General features: G+C 49.4%; 2 protein-coding genes and 1 pseudogene across 2 annotated transcripts; all 3 read left to right on the forward strand.

The window, feature by feature from the left end:
• Positions 1 to 1,720: 1,720 nt before the first annotated feature.
• On the forward strand, positions 1,721 to 3,313 carry USP17L13 (ubiquitin specific peptidase 17 like family member 13). The gene has a single exon (NM_001256855.1). It carries the CDS (start codon positions 1,721 to 1,723, stop codon positions 3,311 to 3,313), a length of 1,593 nt encoding a protein of 530 aa, NP_001243784.1.
• On the forward strand, positions 6,466 to 8,058 carry USP17L14P (ubiquitin specific peptidase 17 like family member 14, pseudogene; annotated as a pseudogene).
• USP17L15 (ubiquitin specific peptidase 17 like family member 15) lies at positions 11,210 to 12,871 on the forward strand. Its single transcript, NM_001256894.2, has one exon. The coding sequence runs from the start codon at positions 11,210 to 11,212 to the stop codon at positions 12,869 to 12,871; it is 1,662 nt and encodes a 553-aa protein (NP_001243823.2).
• Positions 12,872 to 14,725: the final 1,854 nt, after the last annotated feature.

Here is a 14,725-nt window from a genome sequence, read left to right on the forward strand (position 1 = left end):
GGCCCATGAAAAGACAAGGGAAAGAAACGGGGCCAAAGGTCACAGTCCTCTCATCCCATCATCCTCCTTAAAATCATCCTAATTTCATGGGCCCTGAAGCCAGGGCTGTTTCTTTACACCTAGAGGCCTTGGCGCCGGGCCTCAATTCCGCCCTGTTCCTTACCGTCTAAGACATGTTGGGAAAATCCCTAGAGCCAGGATCTTCATTCCTGCTAAGCCAGACAGCCGGAAGACACACCCAAATTCTGTCCCTCTTACTTCAGGGAACATGTCCACTTTCGGCAGCATTACAATTTTGGCACCAAATGTGCTAACTGCAATTCCACCATACAATGCGTAACTGGAAATGGAGGCAACATCTCCGATCCTGAACGATCGATGCGAGAATCCAGGATATGCACGGCTTATTTTGGCCTTTTCCCACTGAAACAAGGGCCAGTATTAAAAATGGCACGCTATCCTCTGTTTCACTCCCTGCTTTTAAACGTCTCTGATGTTTCTCCCTGAGACAGGGCCTCACTTCCGTCAGCCGGGCTTTTCTACGGTATAATTTTCCTTGTTTGCTTTTGTCCAAATTAGAACTTTTTATTTTATCTCTAGGAAACGTTGATCCATTATCACATACGTATGGAAATATTATCACACATGCTGTGAGATACGTTGTTTTTATTTTCATCAATTCTTAATAAACAAAAGGTTATAGCTGGGATACCTTCTGAGTTCTCAAGTTTTTTGTTTCGTGTTTTCTTAAACTGCCGTCGCACGTCCGAAACCGCTCACTATGCAGTGTCATGACCGTCTCTCTTTTCTGGCAAACATAAATTTGGGGATTGTCATCAATTAGTCTCTCGGGGATTGCATGATTTCCCCAAAGGCTTTCACTGTCTACTTTGTGCACTGAGTATCTCTTCAAACTTCAGTGCATGTTTCTACCATTTGATGCTTTATTATTTGGCAATCTAGCTTCCACAAGAGCATTTCATGCAAAGACTTGTCTTCTTCTCCACTGGCAGGTAATTTCACTCGGACAGAGAATCAATAGGCTCAACGTGGAAAGGTTATCGCTGGAAGGTCTGTTTGATTCCACGGATCTCTCCTTTCTCACTAGGGAAGAAAATACGCTGTGCTAAATACTATACTTCATTGACTATTCTCAGGTCAGAAAGCGCACTTTCGACTTCTTGTCCTTCCGTCGCTGAGAGGATGATGGCAGCTGCCAAAAGTAACTACTTGGAGGTTCATCCCAGCACAAACACACACACACACATGCCCCCCCCACACACACACAAACACACTCACACACACACACGCACACGGTTTCCTAGGTAAAGATTTCTTCCCTGCCATTGCTTTACCTAAAATAAGGCAACTGTGAGGCCACTGTCCCAACCCGGTTACACTCCTATTATATGTGCCTATCATCCTGAGGAGTAATTTGATTCAGGTGTTCTGGAAGTCATGCTGTGGGCTGTGTCTGTTGAATTCCCAGCGATGCCAGGGGACACACCCTGTGACTCCTTCCTGAATTGAGTGCTGATATTTGATTGGCTTATCGCGCACCTGATGAGTGGGTGGGGTGTTCGCGGTTCGTGGGGGTGACTTACAGAAGGGCTGATGCGGCCAGAGAGCTCGTCATTTGAAGACTCTCTCGGAAGGGATAGCGTCTTTCTGCAACCTGCGGTCCCAGCAGACAAACCTTGTGATCCTTGTTCCAGTCGACATGGAGGAGGACTCACTCTACTTGGGTGGTGAGTGGCAGTTCAACCACTTTTCAAAACTCACATCTTCTCGGCTCGATGCAGCTTTTGCTGAAATCCAGCGGACTTCTCTCCCTGAGAAGTCACCACTCTCATGTGAGACCCGTGTCGACCTCTGTGATGATTTGGTTCCTGAGGCAAGACAGCTTGCTCCCAGGGAGAAGCTTCCTCTGAGTAGCAGGAGACCTGCTGCGGTGGGGGCTGGGCTCCAGAATATGGGAAATACCTGCTACGTGAACGCTTCCTTGCAGTGCCTGACATACACACCGCCCCTTGCCAACTACATGCTGTCCCGGGAGCACTCTCAAACGTGTCATCGTCACAAGGGCTGCATGCTCTGTACTATGCAAGCTCACATCACACGGGCCCTCCACAATCCTGGCCACGTCATCCAGCCCTCACAGGCATTGGCTGCTGGCTTCCATAGAGGCAAGCAGGAAGATGCCCATGAATTTCTCATGTTCACTGTGGATGCCATGAAAAAGGCATGCCTTCCCGGGCACAAGCAGGTAGATCATCCCTCTAAGGACACCACCCTCATCCACCAAATATTTGGAGGCTACTGGAGATCTCAAATCAAGTGTCTCCACTGCCACGGCATTTCAGACACTTTTGACCCTTACCTGGACATCGCCCTGGATATCCAGGCAGCTCAGAGTGTCCAGCAAGCTTTGGAACAGTTGGTGAAGCCCGAAGAACTCAATGGAGAGAATGCCTATCATTGTGGTGTTTGTCTCCAGAGGGCGCCGGCCTCCAAGACGTTAACTTTACACACCTCTGCCAAGGTCCTCATCCTTGTATTGAAGAGATTCTCCGATGTGACAGGCAACAAGATTGCCAAGAATGTGCAATATCCTGAGTGCCTTGACATGCAGCCATACATGTCTCAGCAGAACACAGGACCTCTTGTCTATGTCCTCTATGCTGTGCTGGTCCACGCTGGGTGGAGTTGTCACAACGGACATTACTTCTCTTATGTCAAAGCTCAAGAAGGCCAATGGTATAAAATGGATGATGCCGAGGTCACCGCCGCTAGCATCACTTCTGTCCTGAGTCAACAGGCCTACGTCCTCTTTTACATCCAGAAGAGTGAATGGGAAAGACACAGTGAGAGTGTGTCAAGAGGCAGGGAACCAAGAGCCCTTGGCGCAGAAGACACAGACAGGCGAGCAACGCAAGGAGAGCTCAAGAGAGACCACCCCTGCCTCCAGGCCCCCGAGTTGGACGAGCACTTGGTGGAAAGAGCCACTCAGGAAAGCACCTTAGACCGCTGGAAATTCCTTCAAGAGCAAAACAAAACGAAGCCTGAGTTCAACGTCAGAAAAGTCGAAGGTACCCTGCCTCCCGACGTACTTGTGATTCATCAATCAAAATACAAGTGTGGGATGAAGAACCATCATCCTGAACAGCAAAGCTCCCTGCTAAACCTCTCTTCGTCGACCCCGACACATCAGGAGTCCATGAACACTGGCACACTCGCTTCCCTGCGAGGGAGGGCCAGGAGATCCAAAGGGAAGAACAAACACAGCAAGAGGGCTCTGCTTGTGTGCCAGTGATCTCAGTGGAAGTACCGACCCACACGTAGGGGTGCACACACACACGCACACACACAGACACACACATAACTACACCCAGAAGCGCGCACGCAAACACACACACACCCACACAAACACGAACACCGTCAATCCTACATAAACTAATGAGGAGCCCAAGTTTCTGTCTCTACAACAGGGACAACTGGATAGTGATGGCTACATCTCAGGATGAGCCCGCATATGGGAAACATCAAGTTTTGGGGTCGTGAGTCTTCCGAACCTCTGGAGGGACTGTCTGAGTGTTTGTGTTCATGATAGGTGACATTCAGTGTGTATTTCTGAATATGACCTACCGACGTGTAGGTTTGCGTGTGAGGTAATTGCAGGGGACTCGGTTTCGTATTTTCTCTTGGGGTGTGTTTCATTCGTCAGTTGTTGGTCGGCATGAGAAGGTGAAAGGTGGCTCATGTGGGACATCCGTGGATCATTCTCGCCACCTTGAATAGTGGAAACTGGAATGCATTTGGAAGAGAAGAACGGTGCTCTTCTTTCTTCCCCGGGCTCGCCGTTTTTACACTGGTTCCTGAATGGACCTCAGGCGCCCTGGGACTTGTGCTCTTGCTGGAACCCACATAACGCCGGAAGCGGACAGACCGACTTGCCTGTTTCACGGTGCCCGCTTCCCATGAGTCCAAACGGAAAATTTTCCCACGGGCATGTAAGTCATCTGGAAGTAAGCTGTATTGATAATAAAGGAAAGCAAACACAGGAGTGTGTGTATTCAACTGAAATAAATTCAGAAAGCCCTGCAATCAATCTCACTGGGTGTGTTTAAAAATGGCATTTGGGGAATTTCTGGGTCATTTGTCCAGCTGCGAAAGCTGCATCTCTGAAGCACAGTCCCTGTCCCGCAGTGAGACTTATTGATCCGACGTGGTGTTTCCGTGGAAATGATTGTGGGAAATGGCCCCTTCCTTTTCTCTATTTGCTGATTAGACTTCATGGTCCCTTTCTCGTCAGGTACAGTGATCAAAGTTGACCAGCCCCAGAGGAAAGCTGCCCAGGGCACAACTCAGGGCTCCGTAGAACCACAGAATCTTGGGCGCAACCCTGCTCAAGCACCCAAATGTGCATACGAACAGGGTCTCCGTGTGACGTGTGTGAAAACTACAGTGTGATGAGCATGACTGGCAGACAGCTTATCGATTGGGCTCCCCTCAAAATCGGTTATGAGCATTCAAGCACACCGATGCCCAGGTCCCGGCTGCAGGAATAAGACCCTCCAGGGTCTTGTGTGAAGCCTCGGCATCTGCATTGCTCATGCTTCTGGGGATCATTCTCCTGAAAATGGTGGCTCCTTTCTCCCTGTGGAGCATCTTTCTAAGCAGTGCTCTTTTCTTCCCCCAGGACACTTTACATCCGGCACAGGAAGCCTTCTGATGGAGCACACCTGGCCCATGAAAAGACAAGGGAAAGAAACGGGGCCAAAGGTCACAGTCCTCTCATCCCATCATCCTCCTTAAAATCATCCTAATTTCATGGGCCCTGAAGCCAGGGCTGTTTCTTTACACCTAGAGGCCTTGGCGCCGGGCCTCAATTCCGCCCTGTTCCTTACCGTCTAAGACGTGTTGGGAAAATCCCTAGAGCCAGGATCTTCATTCCTGCTAAGCCAGACAGCCGGAAGACACACCCAAATTCTGTCCCTCTTACTTCAGGGAACATGTCCACTTTCGGCAGCATTACAATTTTGGCACCAAATGTGCTAACTGCAATTCCACCATACAATGCGTAACTGGAAATGGAGGCAACATCTCCGATCCTGAACGATCGATGCGAGAATCCAGGATATGCACGGCTTATTTTGGCCTTTTCCCACTGAAACAAGGGCCAGTATTAAAAATGGCACGCTATCCTCTGTTTCACTCCCTGCTTTTAAACGTCTCCGATGTTTCTCCCTGAGACAGGGCCTCACTTCCGTCAGCCGGGCTTTTCTACGGTATAATTTTCCTTGTTTGCTTTTGTCCAAATTAGAACTTTTTATTTCATCTCTAGGAAACGTTGATCCATTATCACATACGTATGGAAATATTATCACACATGCTGTGAGATACGTTGTTTTTATTTTCATCAATTCTTTAATAAACAAAAGGGTATAGCTGGGATACCTTCTGAGTTCTCAAGTTTTTTGTTTCGTGTTTTCTTAAACTGCCGTCGCACGTCCGAAACCGCTCACTATGCAGTGTCATGACCGTCTCTCTTTTCTGGCAAACATAAATTTGGGGATTGTCATCAATTAGTCTCTCGGGGATTGCATGATTTCCCCAAAGGCTTTCACTGTCTACTTTGTGCACTGAGTATCTCTTCAAACTTCAGTGCATGTTTCTACCATTTGATGCTTTATTATTTGGCAATCTAGCTTCCACAAGAGCATTTCATGCAAAGACTTGTCTTCTTCTCCACTGGCAGGTAATTTCACTCGGACAGAGAATCAATAGGCTCAACGTGGAAAGGTTATCGCTGGAAGGTCTGTTTGATTCCACGGATCTCTCCTTTCTCACTAGGGAAGAAAATACGCTGTGCTAAATACTATACTTCATTGACTATTCTCAGGTCAGAAAGCGCACTTTCGACTTCTTGTCCTTCCGTCGCTGAGAGGATGATGGCAGCTGCCAAAAGTAACTACTTGGAGGTTCATCCCAGCACAAACACACACACACACATGCCCCCCCCACACACACACAAACACACTCACACACACACACGCACACGGTTTCCTAGGTAAAGATTTCTTCCCTGCCATTGCTTTACCTAAAATAAGGCAACTGTGAGGCCACTGTCCCAACCCGGTTACACTCCTATTATATGTGCCTATCATCCTGAGGAGTAATTTGATTCAGGTGTTCTGGAAGTCATGCTGTGGGCTGTGTCTGTTGAATTCCCAGCGATGCCAGGGGACACACCCTGTGACTCCTTCCTGAATTGAGTGCTGATATTTGATTGGCTTATCGCGCACCTGATGAGTGGGTGGGGTGTTCGCGGTTCGTGGGGGTGACTTACAGAAGGGCTGATGCGGCCAGAGAGCTCGTCATTTGAAGACTCTCTCGGAAGGGATAGCGTCTTTCTGCAACCTGCGGTCCCAGCAGACAAACCTTGTGATCCTTGTTCCAGTCGACATGGAGGAGGACTCACTCTACTTGGGTGGTGAGTGGCAGTTCAACCACTTTTCAAAACTCACATCTTCTCGGCTCGATGCAGCTTTTGCTGAAATCCAGCGGACTTCTCTCCCTGAGAAGTCACCACTCTCATGTGAGACCCGTGTCGACCTCTGTGATGATTTGGTTCCTGAGGCAAGACAGCTTGCTCCCAGGGAGAAGCTTCCTCTGAGTAGCAGGAGACCTGCTGCGGTGGGGGCTGGGCTCCAGAATATGGGAAATACCTGCTACGTGAACGCTTCCTTGCAGTGCCTGACATACACACCGCCCCTTGCCAACTACATGCTGTCCCGGGAGCACTCTCAAACGTGTCATCGTCACAAGGGCTGCATGCTCTGTACTATGCAAGCTCACATCACACGGGCCCTCCACAATCCTGGCCACGTCATCCAGCCCTCACAGGCATTGGCTGCTGGCTTCCATAGAGGCAAGCAGGAAGATGCCCATGAATTTCTCATGTTCACTGTGGATGCCATGAAAAAGGCATGCCTTCCCGGGCACAAGCAGGTAGATCATCCCTCTAAGGACACCACCCTCATCCACCAAATATTTGGAGGCTACTGGAGATCTCAAATCAAGTGTCTCCACTGCCACGGCATTTCAGACACTTTTGACCCTTACCTGGACATCGCCCTGGATATCCAGGCAGCTCAGAGTGTCCAGCAAGCTTTGGAACAGTTGGTGAAGCCCGAAGAACTCAATGGAGAGAATGCCTATCATTGTGGTGTTTGTCTCCAGAGGGCGCCGGCCTCCAAGACGTTAACTTTACACACTTCTGCCAAGGTCCTCATCCTTGTATTGAAGAGATTCTCCGATGTCACAGGCAACAAGATTGCCAAGAATGTGCAATATCCTGAGTGCCTTGACATGCAGCCATACATGTCTCAGCAGAACACAGGACCTCTTGTCTATGTCCTCTATGCTGTGCTGGTCCATGCTGGGTGGAGTTGTCACAACGGACATTACTTCTCTTATGTCAAAGCTCAAGAAGGCCAGTGGTATAAAATGGATGATGCCGAGGTCACCGCCGCTAGCATCACATCTGTCCTGAGTCAACAGGCCTACGTCCTCTTTTACATCCAGAAGAGTGAATGGGAAAGACACAGTGAGAGTGTGTCAAGAGGCAGGGAACCAAGAGCCCTTGGCGCAGAAGACACAGACAGGCGAGTAACGCAAGGAGAGCTCAAGAGAGACCACCCCTGACTCCAGGCCCCCGAGTTGGACGAGCACTTGGTGGAAAGAGCCACTCAGGAAAGCACCTTAGACCACTGGAAATTCCTTCAAGAGCAAAACAAAACGAAGCCTGAGTTCAACGTCAGAAAAGTCGAAGGTACCCTGCCTCCCGACGTACTTGTGATTCATCAATCAAAATACAAGTGTGGGATGAAGAACCATCATCCTGAACAGCAAAGCTCCCTGCTAAACCTCTCTTCGACGACCCCGACACATCAGCAGTCCATGAACAATGGCACACTCGCTTCCCTGCGAGGGAGGGCCAGGAGATCCAAAGGGAAGAACAAACACAGCAAGAGGGCTCTGCTTGTGTGCCAGTGATCTCAGTGGAAGTACCGACCCACACGTAGGGGTGCACACACACACGCACACACACAGACACACACATAACTACACCCAGAAGCGCGCACGCAAACACACACACACCCACACAAACACGAACACCGTCAATCCTACATAAACTAATGAGGAGCCCAAGTTTCTGTCTCTACAACAGGGACAACTGGATAGTGATGGCTACATCTCAGGATGAGCCCGCATATGGGAAACATCAAGTTTTGGGGTCGTGAGTCTTCCGAACCTCTGGTGGGACTGTCTGAGTGTTTGTGTTCATGATAGGTGACATTCAGTGTGTATTTCTGAATATGACCTACCGACGTGTAGGTTTGCGTGTGAGGTAATTGCAGGGGACTCGGTTTCGTATTTTCTCTTGGGGTGTGTTTCATTCGTCAGTTGTTGGTCGGCATGAGAAGGTGAAAGGTGGCTCATGTGGGACATCCGTGGATCATTCTCGCCACCTTGAATAGTGGAAACTGGAATGCATTTGGAAGAGAAGAACGGTGCTCTTCTTTCTTCCCCGGGCTCGCCGTTTTTACACTGGTTCCTGAATGGACCTCAGGCGCCCTGGGACTTGTGCTCTTGCTGGAACCCACATAACGCCGGAAGCGGACAGACCGACTTGCCTGTTTCACGGTGCCCGCTTCCCATGAGTCCAAACGGAAAATTTTCCCACGGGCATGTAAGTCATCTGGAAGTAAGCTGTATTGATAATAAAGGAAAGCAAACACAGGAGTGTGTGTATTCAACTGAAATAAATTCAGAAAGCCCTGCAATCAATCTCACTGGGTGTGTTTAAAAATGGCATTTGGGGAATTTCTGGGTCATTTGTCCAGCTGCGAAAGCTGCATCTCTGAAGCACAGTCCCTGTCCCGCAGTGAGACTTATTTATCCGACGTGGTGTTTCCGTGGAAATGATTGTGGGAAATGGCCCCTTCCTTTTCTCTATTTGCTGATTAGACTTCATGGTCCCTTTCTCGTCAGGTATAGTGATCAAAGTTGACCAACCCAGAGGAAAGCTGCCCAGGGCACAACTCAGGGCTCCGTAGAACCACAGAATCTTGGGCGCAACCCTGCTCAAGCACCCAAATGTGCATACGAACAGGGTCTCCGTGTGACGTGTGTGAAAACTACAGTGTGATGAGCATGACTGGCAGACAGCTTATCGATTGGGCTCCCCTCAAAATCGGTTATGAGCATTCAAGCACACCGATGCCCAGGTCCCGGCTGCAGGAATAAGACCCTCCAGGGTCTTGTGTGAAGCCTCGGCATCTGCATTGCTCATGCTTCTGGGGATCATTCTCCTGAAAATGGTGGCTCCTTTCTCCCTGTGGAGCATCTTTCTAAGCAGTGCTCTTTTCTTCCCCCAGGACACTTTACATCCGGCACAGGAAGCCTTCTGATGGAGCACACCTGGCCCATGAAAAGACAAGGGAAAGAAACGGGGCCAAAGGTCACAGTCCTCTCATCCCATCATCCTCCTTAAAATCATCCTAATTTCATGGGCCCTGAAGCCAGGGCTGTTTCTTTACACCTAGAGGCCTTGGCGCCGGGCCTCAATTCCGCCCTGTTCCTTACCGTCTAAGACGTGTTGGGAAAATCCCTAGAGCCAGGATCTTCATTCCTGCTAAGCCAGACAGCCGGAAGACACACCCAAATTCTGTCCCTCTTACTTAGGGAACATGTCCACTTTCGGCAGCATTACAATTTTGGCACCAAATGTGCTAACTGCAATTCCACCATACAATGCGTAACTGGAAATGGAGGCAACATCTCCGATCCTGAACGATCGATGCGAGAATCCAGGATATGCACGGCTTATTTTGGCCTTTTCCCACTGATACAAGGGCCAGTATTAAAAATGGCACGCTATCCTCTGTTTCACTCCCTGCTTTTAAACGTCTCCGATGTTTCTCCCTGAGACAGGGCCTCACTTCCGTCAGCCGGGCTTTTCTACGGTATAATTTTCCTTGTTTGCTTTTGTCCAAATTAGAACTTTTTATTTCATCTCTAGGAAACGTTGATCCATTATCACATACGTATGGAAATATTATCACACATGCTGTGAGATACGTTGTTTTTATTTTCATCAATTCTTTAATAAACAAAAGGGTATAGCTGGGATACCTTCTGAGTTCTCAAGTTTTTTGTTTCGTGTTTTCTTAAACTGCCGTCGCACGTCCGAAACCGCTCACTATGCAGTGTCATGACCGTCTCTCTTTTCTGGCAAACATAAATTTGGGGATTGTCATCAATTAGTCTCTCGGGGATTGCATGATTTCCCCAAAGGCTTTCACAGTCTACTTTGTGCACTGAGTATCTCTTCAAACTTCAGTGCATGTTTCTACCATTTGATTCTTTCTTATTTGGCAATCTAGCTTCCACAAGAGCATTTCATGCAAAGACTTGTCTTGTTCTCCACTGGCAGGTAATTTCACTCGGACAGAGAATCAATAGGCTCAACGTGGAAAGGTTATCGCTGGAAGGTCTGTTTGATTCCACGGATCTCTCCTTTCTCACTAGGGAAGAAAATACGCTGTGCTAAATACTATACTTCATTGACTATTCTCAGGTCAGAAAGCGCACTTTCGACTTCTTGTCCTTCCGTCGCTGAGAGGATGATGGCAGCTGCCAAAAGTACCTACTTGGAGGTTCATCCCAGCACAAACACACACACACACACGCCCCCCCCCACACACACACAAACACACTCACACACACACACGCACACGGTTTCCTAGGTAAAGATTTCTTCCCTGCCATTGCTTTACCTAAAATAAGGCAACTGTGAGGCCACTGTCCCAACCCGGTTACACTCCTATTATATGTGCCTATCATCCTGAGGAGTAATTTGATTCAGGTGTTCTGGAAGTCATGCTGTGGGCTGTGTCTGTTGAATTCCCAGCGATGCCAGGGGACACACCCTGTGACTCCTTCCTGAATTGAGTGCTGATATTTGATTGGCTTATCGCGCACCTGATGAGTGGGTGGGGTGTTCGCGGTTGGTGGGGGTGACTTACAGAAGGGCTGATGCGGCCAGAGAGCTCGTCATTTGAAGACTCTCTCGGAAGGGATAGCGTCTTTCTGCAACCTGCGGTCCCAGCAGACAAACCTTGTGATCCTCGTTCCAGTCGACATGGAGGACGACTCACTCTACTTGGGAGGTGAGTGGCAGTTCAACCACTTTTCAAAACTCACATCTTCTCGGCCCGATGCAGCTTTTGCTGAAATCCAGCGGACTTCTCTCCCTGAGAAGTCACCACTCTCATGTGAGACCCGTGTCGACCTCTGTGATGATTTGGCTCCTGTGGCAAGACAGCTTGCTCCCAGGGAGAAGCTTCCTCTGAGTAGCAGGAGACCTGCTGCGGTGGGGGCTGGGCTCCAGAATATGGGAAATACCTGCTACGTGAACGCTTCCTTGCAGTGCCTGACATACACACCGCCCCTTGCCAACTACATGCTGTCCCGGGAGCACTCTCAAACGTGTCATCGTCACAAGGGCTGCATGCTCTGTACGATGCAAGCTCACATCACACGGGCCCTCCACAATCCTGGCCACGTCATCCAGCCCTCACAGGCATTGGCTGCTGGCTTCCATAGAGGCAAGCAGGAAGATGCCCATGAATTTCTCATGTTCACTGTGGATGCCATGAAAAAGGCATGCCTTCCCGGGCACAAGCAGGTGGATCATCACTCTAAGGACACCACCCTCATCCACCAAATATTTGGAGGCTACTGGAGATCTCAAATCAAGTGTCTCCACTGCCACGGCATTTCAGACACTTTTGACCCTTACCTGGACATCGCCCTGGATATCCAGGCAGCTCAGAGTGTCCAGCAAGCTTTGGAACAGTTGGTGAAGCCCGAAGAACTCAATGGAGAGAATGCCTATCATTGTGGTGTTTGTCTCCAGAGGGCGCCGGCCTCCAAGACGTTAACTTTACACACCTCTGCCAAGGTCCTCATCCTTGTATTGAAGAGATTCTCCGATGTCACAGGCAACAAGATTGACAAGAATGTGCAATATCCTGAGTGCCTTGACATGAAGCTATACATGTCTCAGACGAACTCAGGACCTCTCGTCTATGTCCTCTATGCTGTGCTGGTCCACGCTGGGTGGAGTTGTCACAACGGACATTACTTCTCTTATGTCAAAGCTCAAGAAGGCCAGTGGTATAAAATGGATGATGCCGAGGTCACCGCCTCTAGCATCACTTCTGTCCTGAGTCAACAGGCCTACGTCCTCTTTTACATCCAGAAGAGTGAATGGGAAAGACACAGTGAGAGTGTGTCAAGAGGCAGGGAACCAAGAGCCCTTGGCGCAGAAGACACAGACAGGCGAGCAACGCAAGGAGAGCTCAAGAGAGACCACCCCTGCCTCCAGGCCCCCGAGTTGGACGAGCACTTGGTGGAAAGAGCCACTCAGGAAAGCACCTTAGACCACTGGAAATTCCTTCAAGAGCAAAACAAAACGAAGCCTGAGTTCAACGTCAGAAAAGTCGAAGGTACCCTGCCTCCCGACGTACTTGTGATTCATCAATCAAAATACAAGTGTGGGATGAAGAACCATCATCCTGAACAGCAAAGCTCCCTGCTAAACCTCTCTTCGACGACCCCGACACATCAGGAGTCCATGAACACTGGCACACTCGCTTCCCTGCGAGGGAGGGCCAGGAGATCCAAAGGGAAGAACAAACACAGCAAGAGGGCTCTGCTTGTGTGCCAGTGGTCTCAGTGGAAGTACCGACCCACACGTAGGGGTGCACACACACACGCACACACACAGACACACACATAACTACACCCAGAAGCGCACACGCAAACACACACACCCACCCAAACACGAACACCGTCAATCCTACATAAACTAATGAGGAGCCCAAGTTTCTGTCTCTACAACAGGGACAACTGGATAGTGATGGCTACATCTCAGGATGAGCCCGCATATGGGAAACATCAAGTTTTGGGGTCGTGAGTCTTCCGAACCTCTGGTGGGACTGTCTGAGTGTTTGTGTTCATGATAGGTGACATTCAGTGTGTATTTCTGAATATGACCTACCGACGTGTAGGTTTGCGTGTGAGGTAATTGCAGGGGACTCGGTTTCGTATTTTCTCTTGGGGTGTGTTTCATTCGTCAGTTGTTGGTCGGCATGAGAAGGTGAAAGGTGGCTCATGTGGGACATCCGTGGATCATTCTCGCCACCTTGAATAGTGGAAACTGGAATGCATTTGGAAGAGAAGAACGGTGCTCTTCTTTCTTCCCCGGGCTCGCCGTTTTTACACTGGTTCCTGAATGGACCTCAGGCGCCCTGGGACTTGTGCTCTTGCTGGAACCCACATAACGCCGGAAGCGGACAGACCGACTTGCCTGTTTCACGGTGCCCGCTTCCCATGAGTCCAAACGGAAAATTTTCCCACGGGCATGTAAGTCATCTGGAAGTAAGCTGTATTGATAATAAAGGAAAGCAAACACAGGAGTGTGTGTATTCAACTGAAATAAATTCAGAAAGCCCTGAAATCAATCTCACTGGGTGTGTTTAAAAATGGCATTTGGGGAATTTCTGGGTCATTTGTCCAGCTGCGAAAGCTGCATCTCTGAAGCACAGTCCCTGTCCCGCAGTGAGACTTATTGATCCGACGTGGTGTTTCCGTGGAAATGATTGTGGGAAATGGCCCCTTCCTTTTCTCTATTTGCTGATTAGACTTCATGGTCCCTTTCTCGTCAGGTATAGTGATCAAAGTTGACCAACCCCAGAGGAAAGCTGCCCAGGGCACAACTCAGAGCTCCGTAGAACCACAGAATCTTGGGCGCAACCCTGCTCAAGCACCCAAATGTGCATACGAACAGGGTCTCCGTGTGACGTGTGTGAAAACTACAGTGTGATGAGCATGACTGGCAGACAGCTTATCGATTGGGCTCCCCTCAAAATCGGTTATGAGCATTCAAGCACACCGATGCCCAGGTCCCGGCTGCAGGAATAAGACCCTCCAGGGTCTTGTGTGAAGCCTCGGCATCTGCATTGCTCATGCTTCTGGGGATCATTCTCCTGAAAATGGTGGCTCCTTTCTCCCTGTGGAGCATCTTTCTAAGCAGTGCTCTTTTCTTCCCCCAGGACACTTTACATCCGGCACAGGAAGCCTTCTGATGGAGCACACCTGGCCCATGAAAAGACAAGGGAAAGAAACGGGGCCAAAGGTCACAGTCCTCTCATCCCATCATCCTCCTTAAAATCATCCTAATTTCATGGGCCCTGAAGCCAGGGCTGTTTCTTTACACCTAGAGGCCTTGGCGCCGGGCCTCAATTCCGCCCTGTTCCTTACCGTCTAAGACATGTTGGGAAAATCCCTAGAGCCAGGATCTTCATTCCTGCTAAGCCAGACAGCCGGAAGACACACCCAAATTCTGTCCCTCTTACTTCAGGGAACATGTCCACTTTCGGCAGCATTACAATCTTGGCACCAAATGTGCTAACTGCAATTCCACCATACAATGCGTAACTGGAAATGGAGGCAACATCTCCGATCCTGAACGATCGATGCGAGAATCCAGGATATGCACGGCTTATTTTGGCCTTTTCCCACTGAAACAAGGGCCAGTATTAAAAATGGCACGCTATCCTCTGTTTCACTCCCTGCTTTTAAACGTCTCCGA

The sequence above is a fragment of the Homo sapiens genome, chromosome 4 (assembly GCF_000001405.40).
Source record: "Homo sapiens chromosome 4, GRCh38.p14 Primary Assembly".
NCBI classification, from domain to species: domain Eukaryota; kingdom Metazoa; phylum Chordata; class Mammalia; order Primates; family Hominidae; genus Homo; species Homo sapiens.

What these genes read in the sequence shown, in the direction of transcription:
- USP17L13 (NM_001256855.1), top strand. Translation starts at nt 1,721, where the DNA reads ATGGAGGAGGACTCACTCTACTTGGGTGGTGAGTGGCAGTTCAACCAC.
- USP17L15 (NM_001256894.2), top strand. Translation starts at nt 11,210, where the DNA reads ATGGAGGACGACTCACTCTACTTGGGAGGTGAGTGGCAGTTCAACCAC.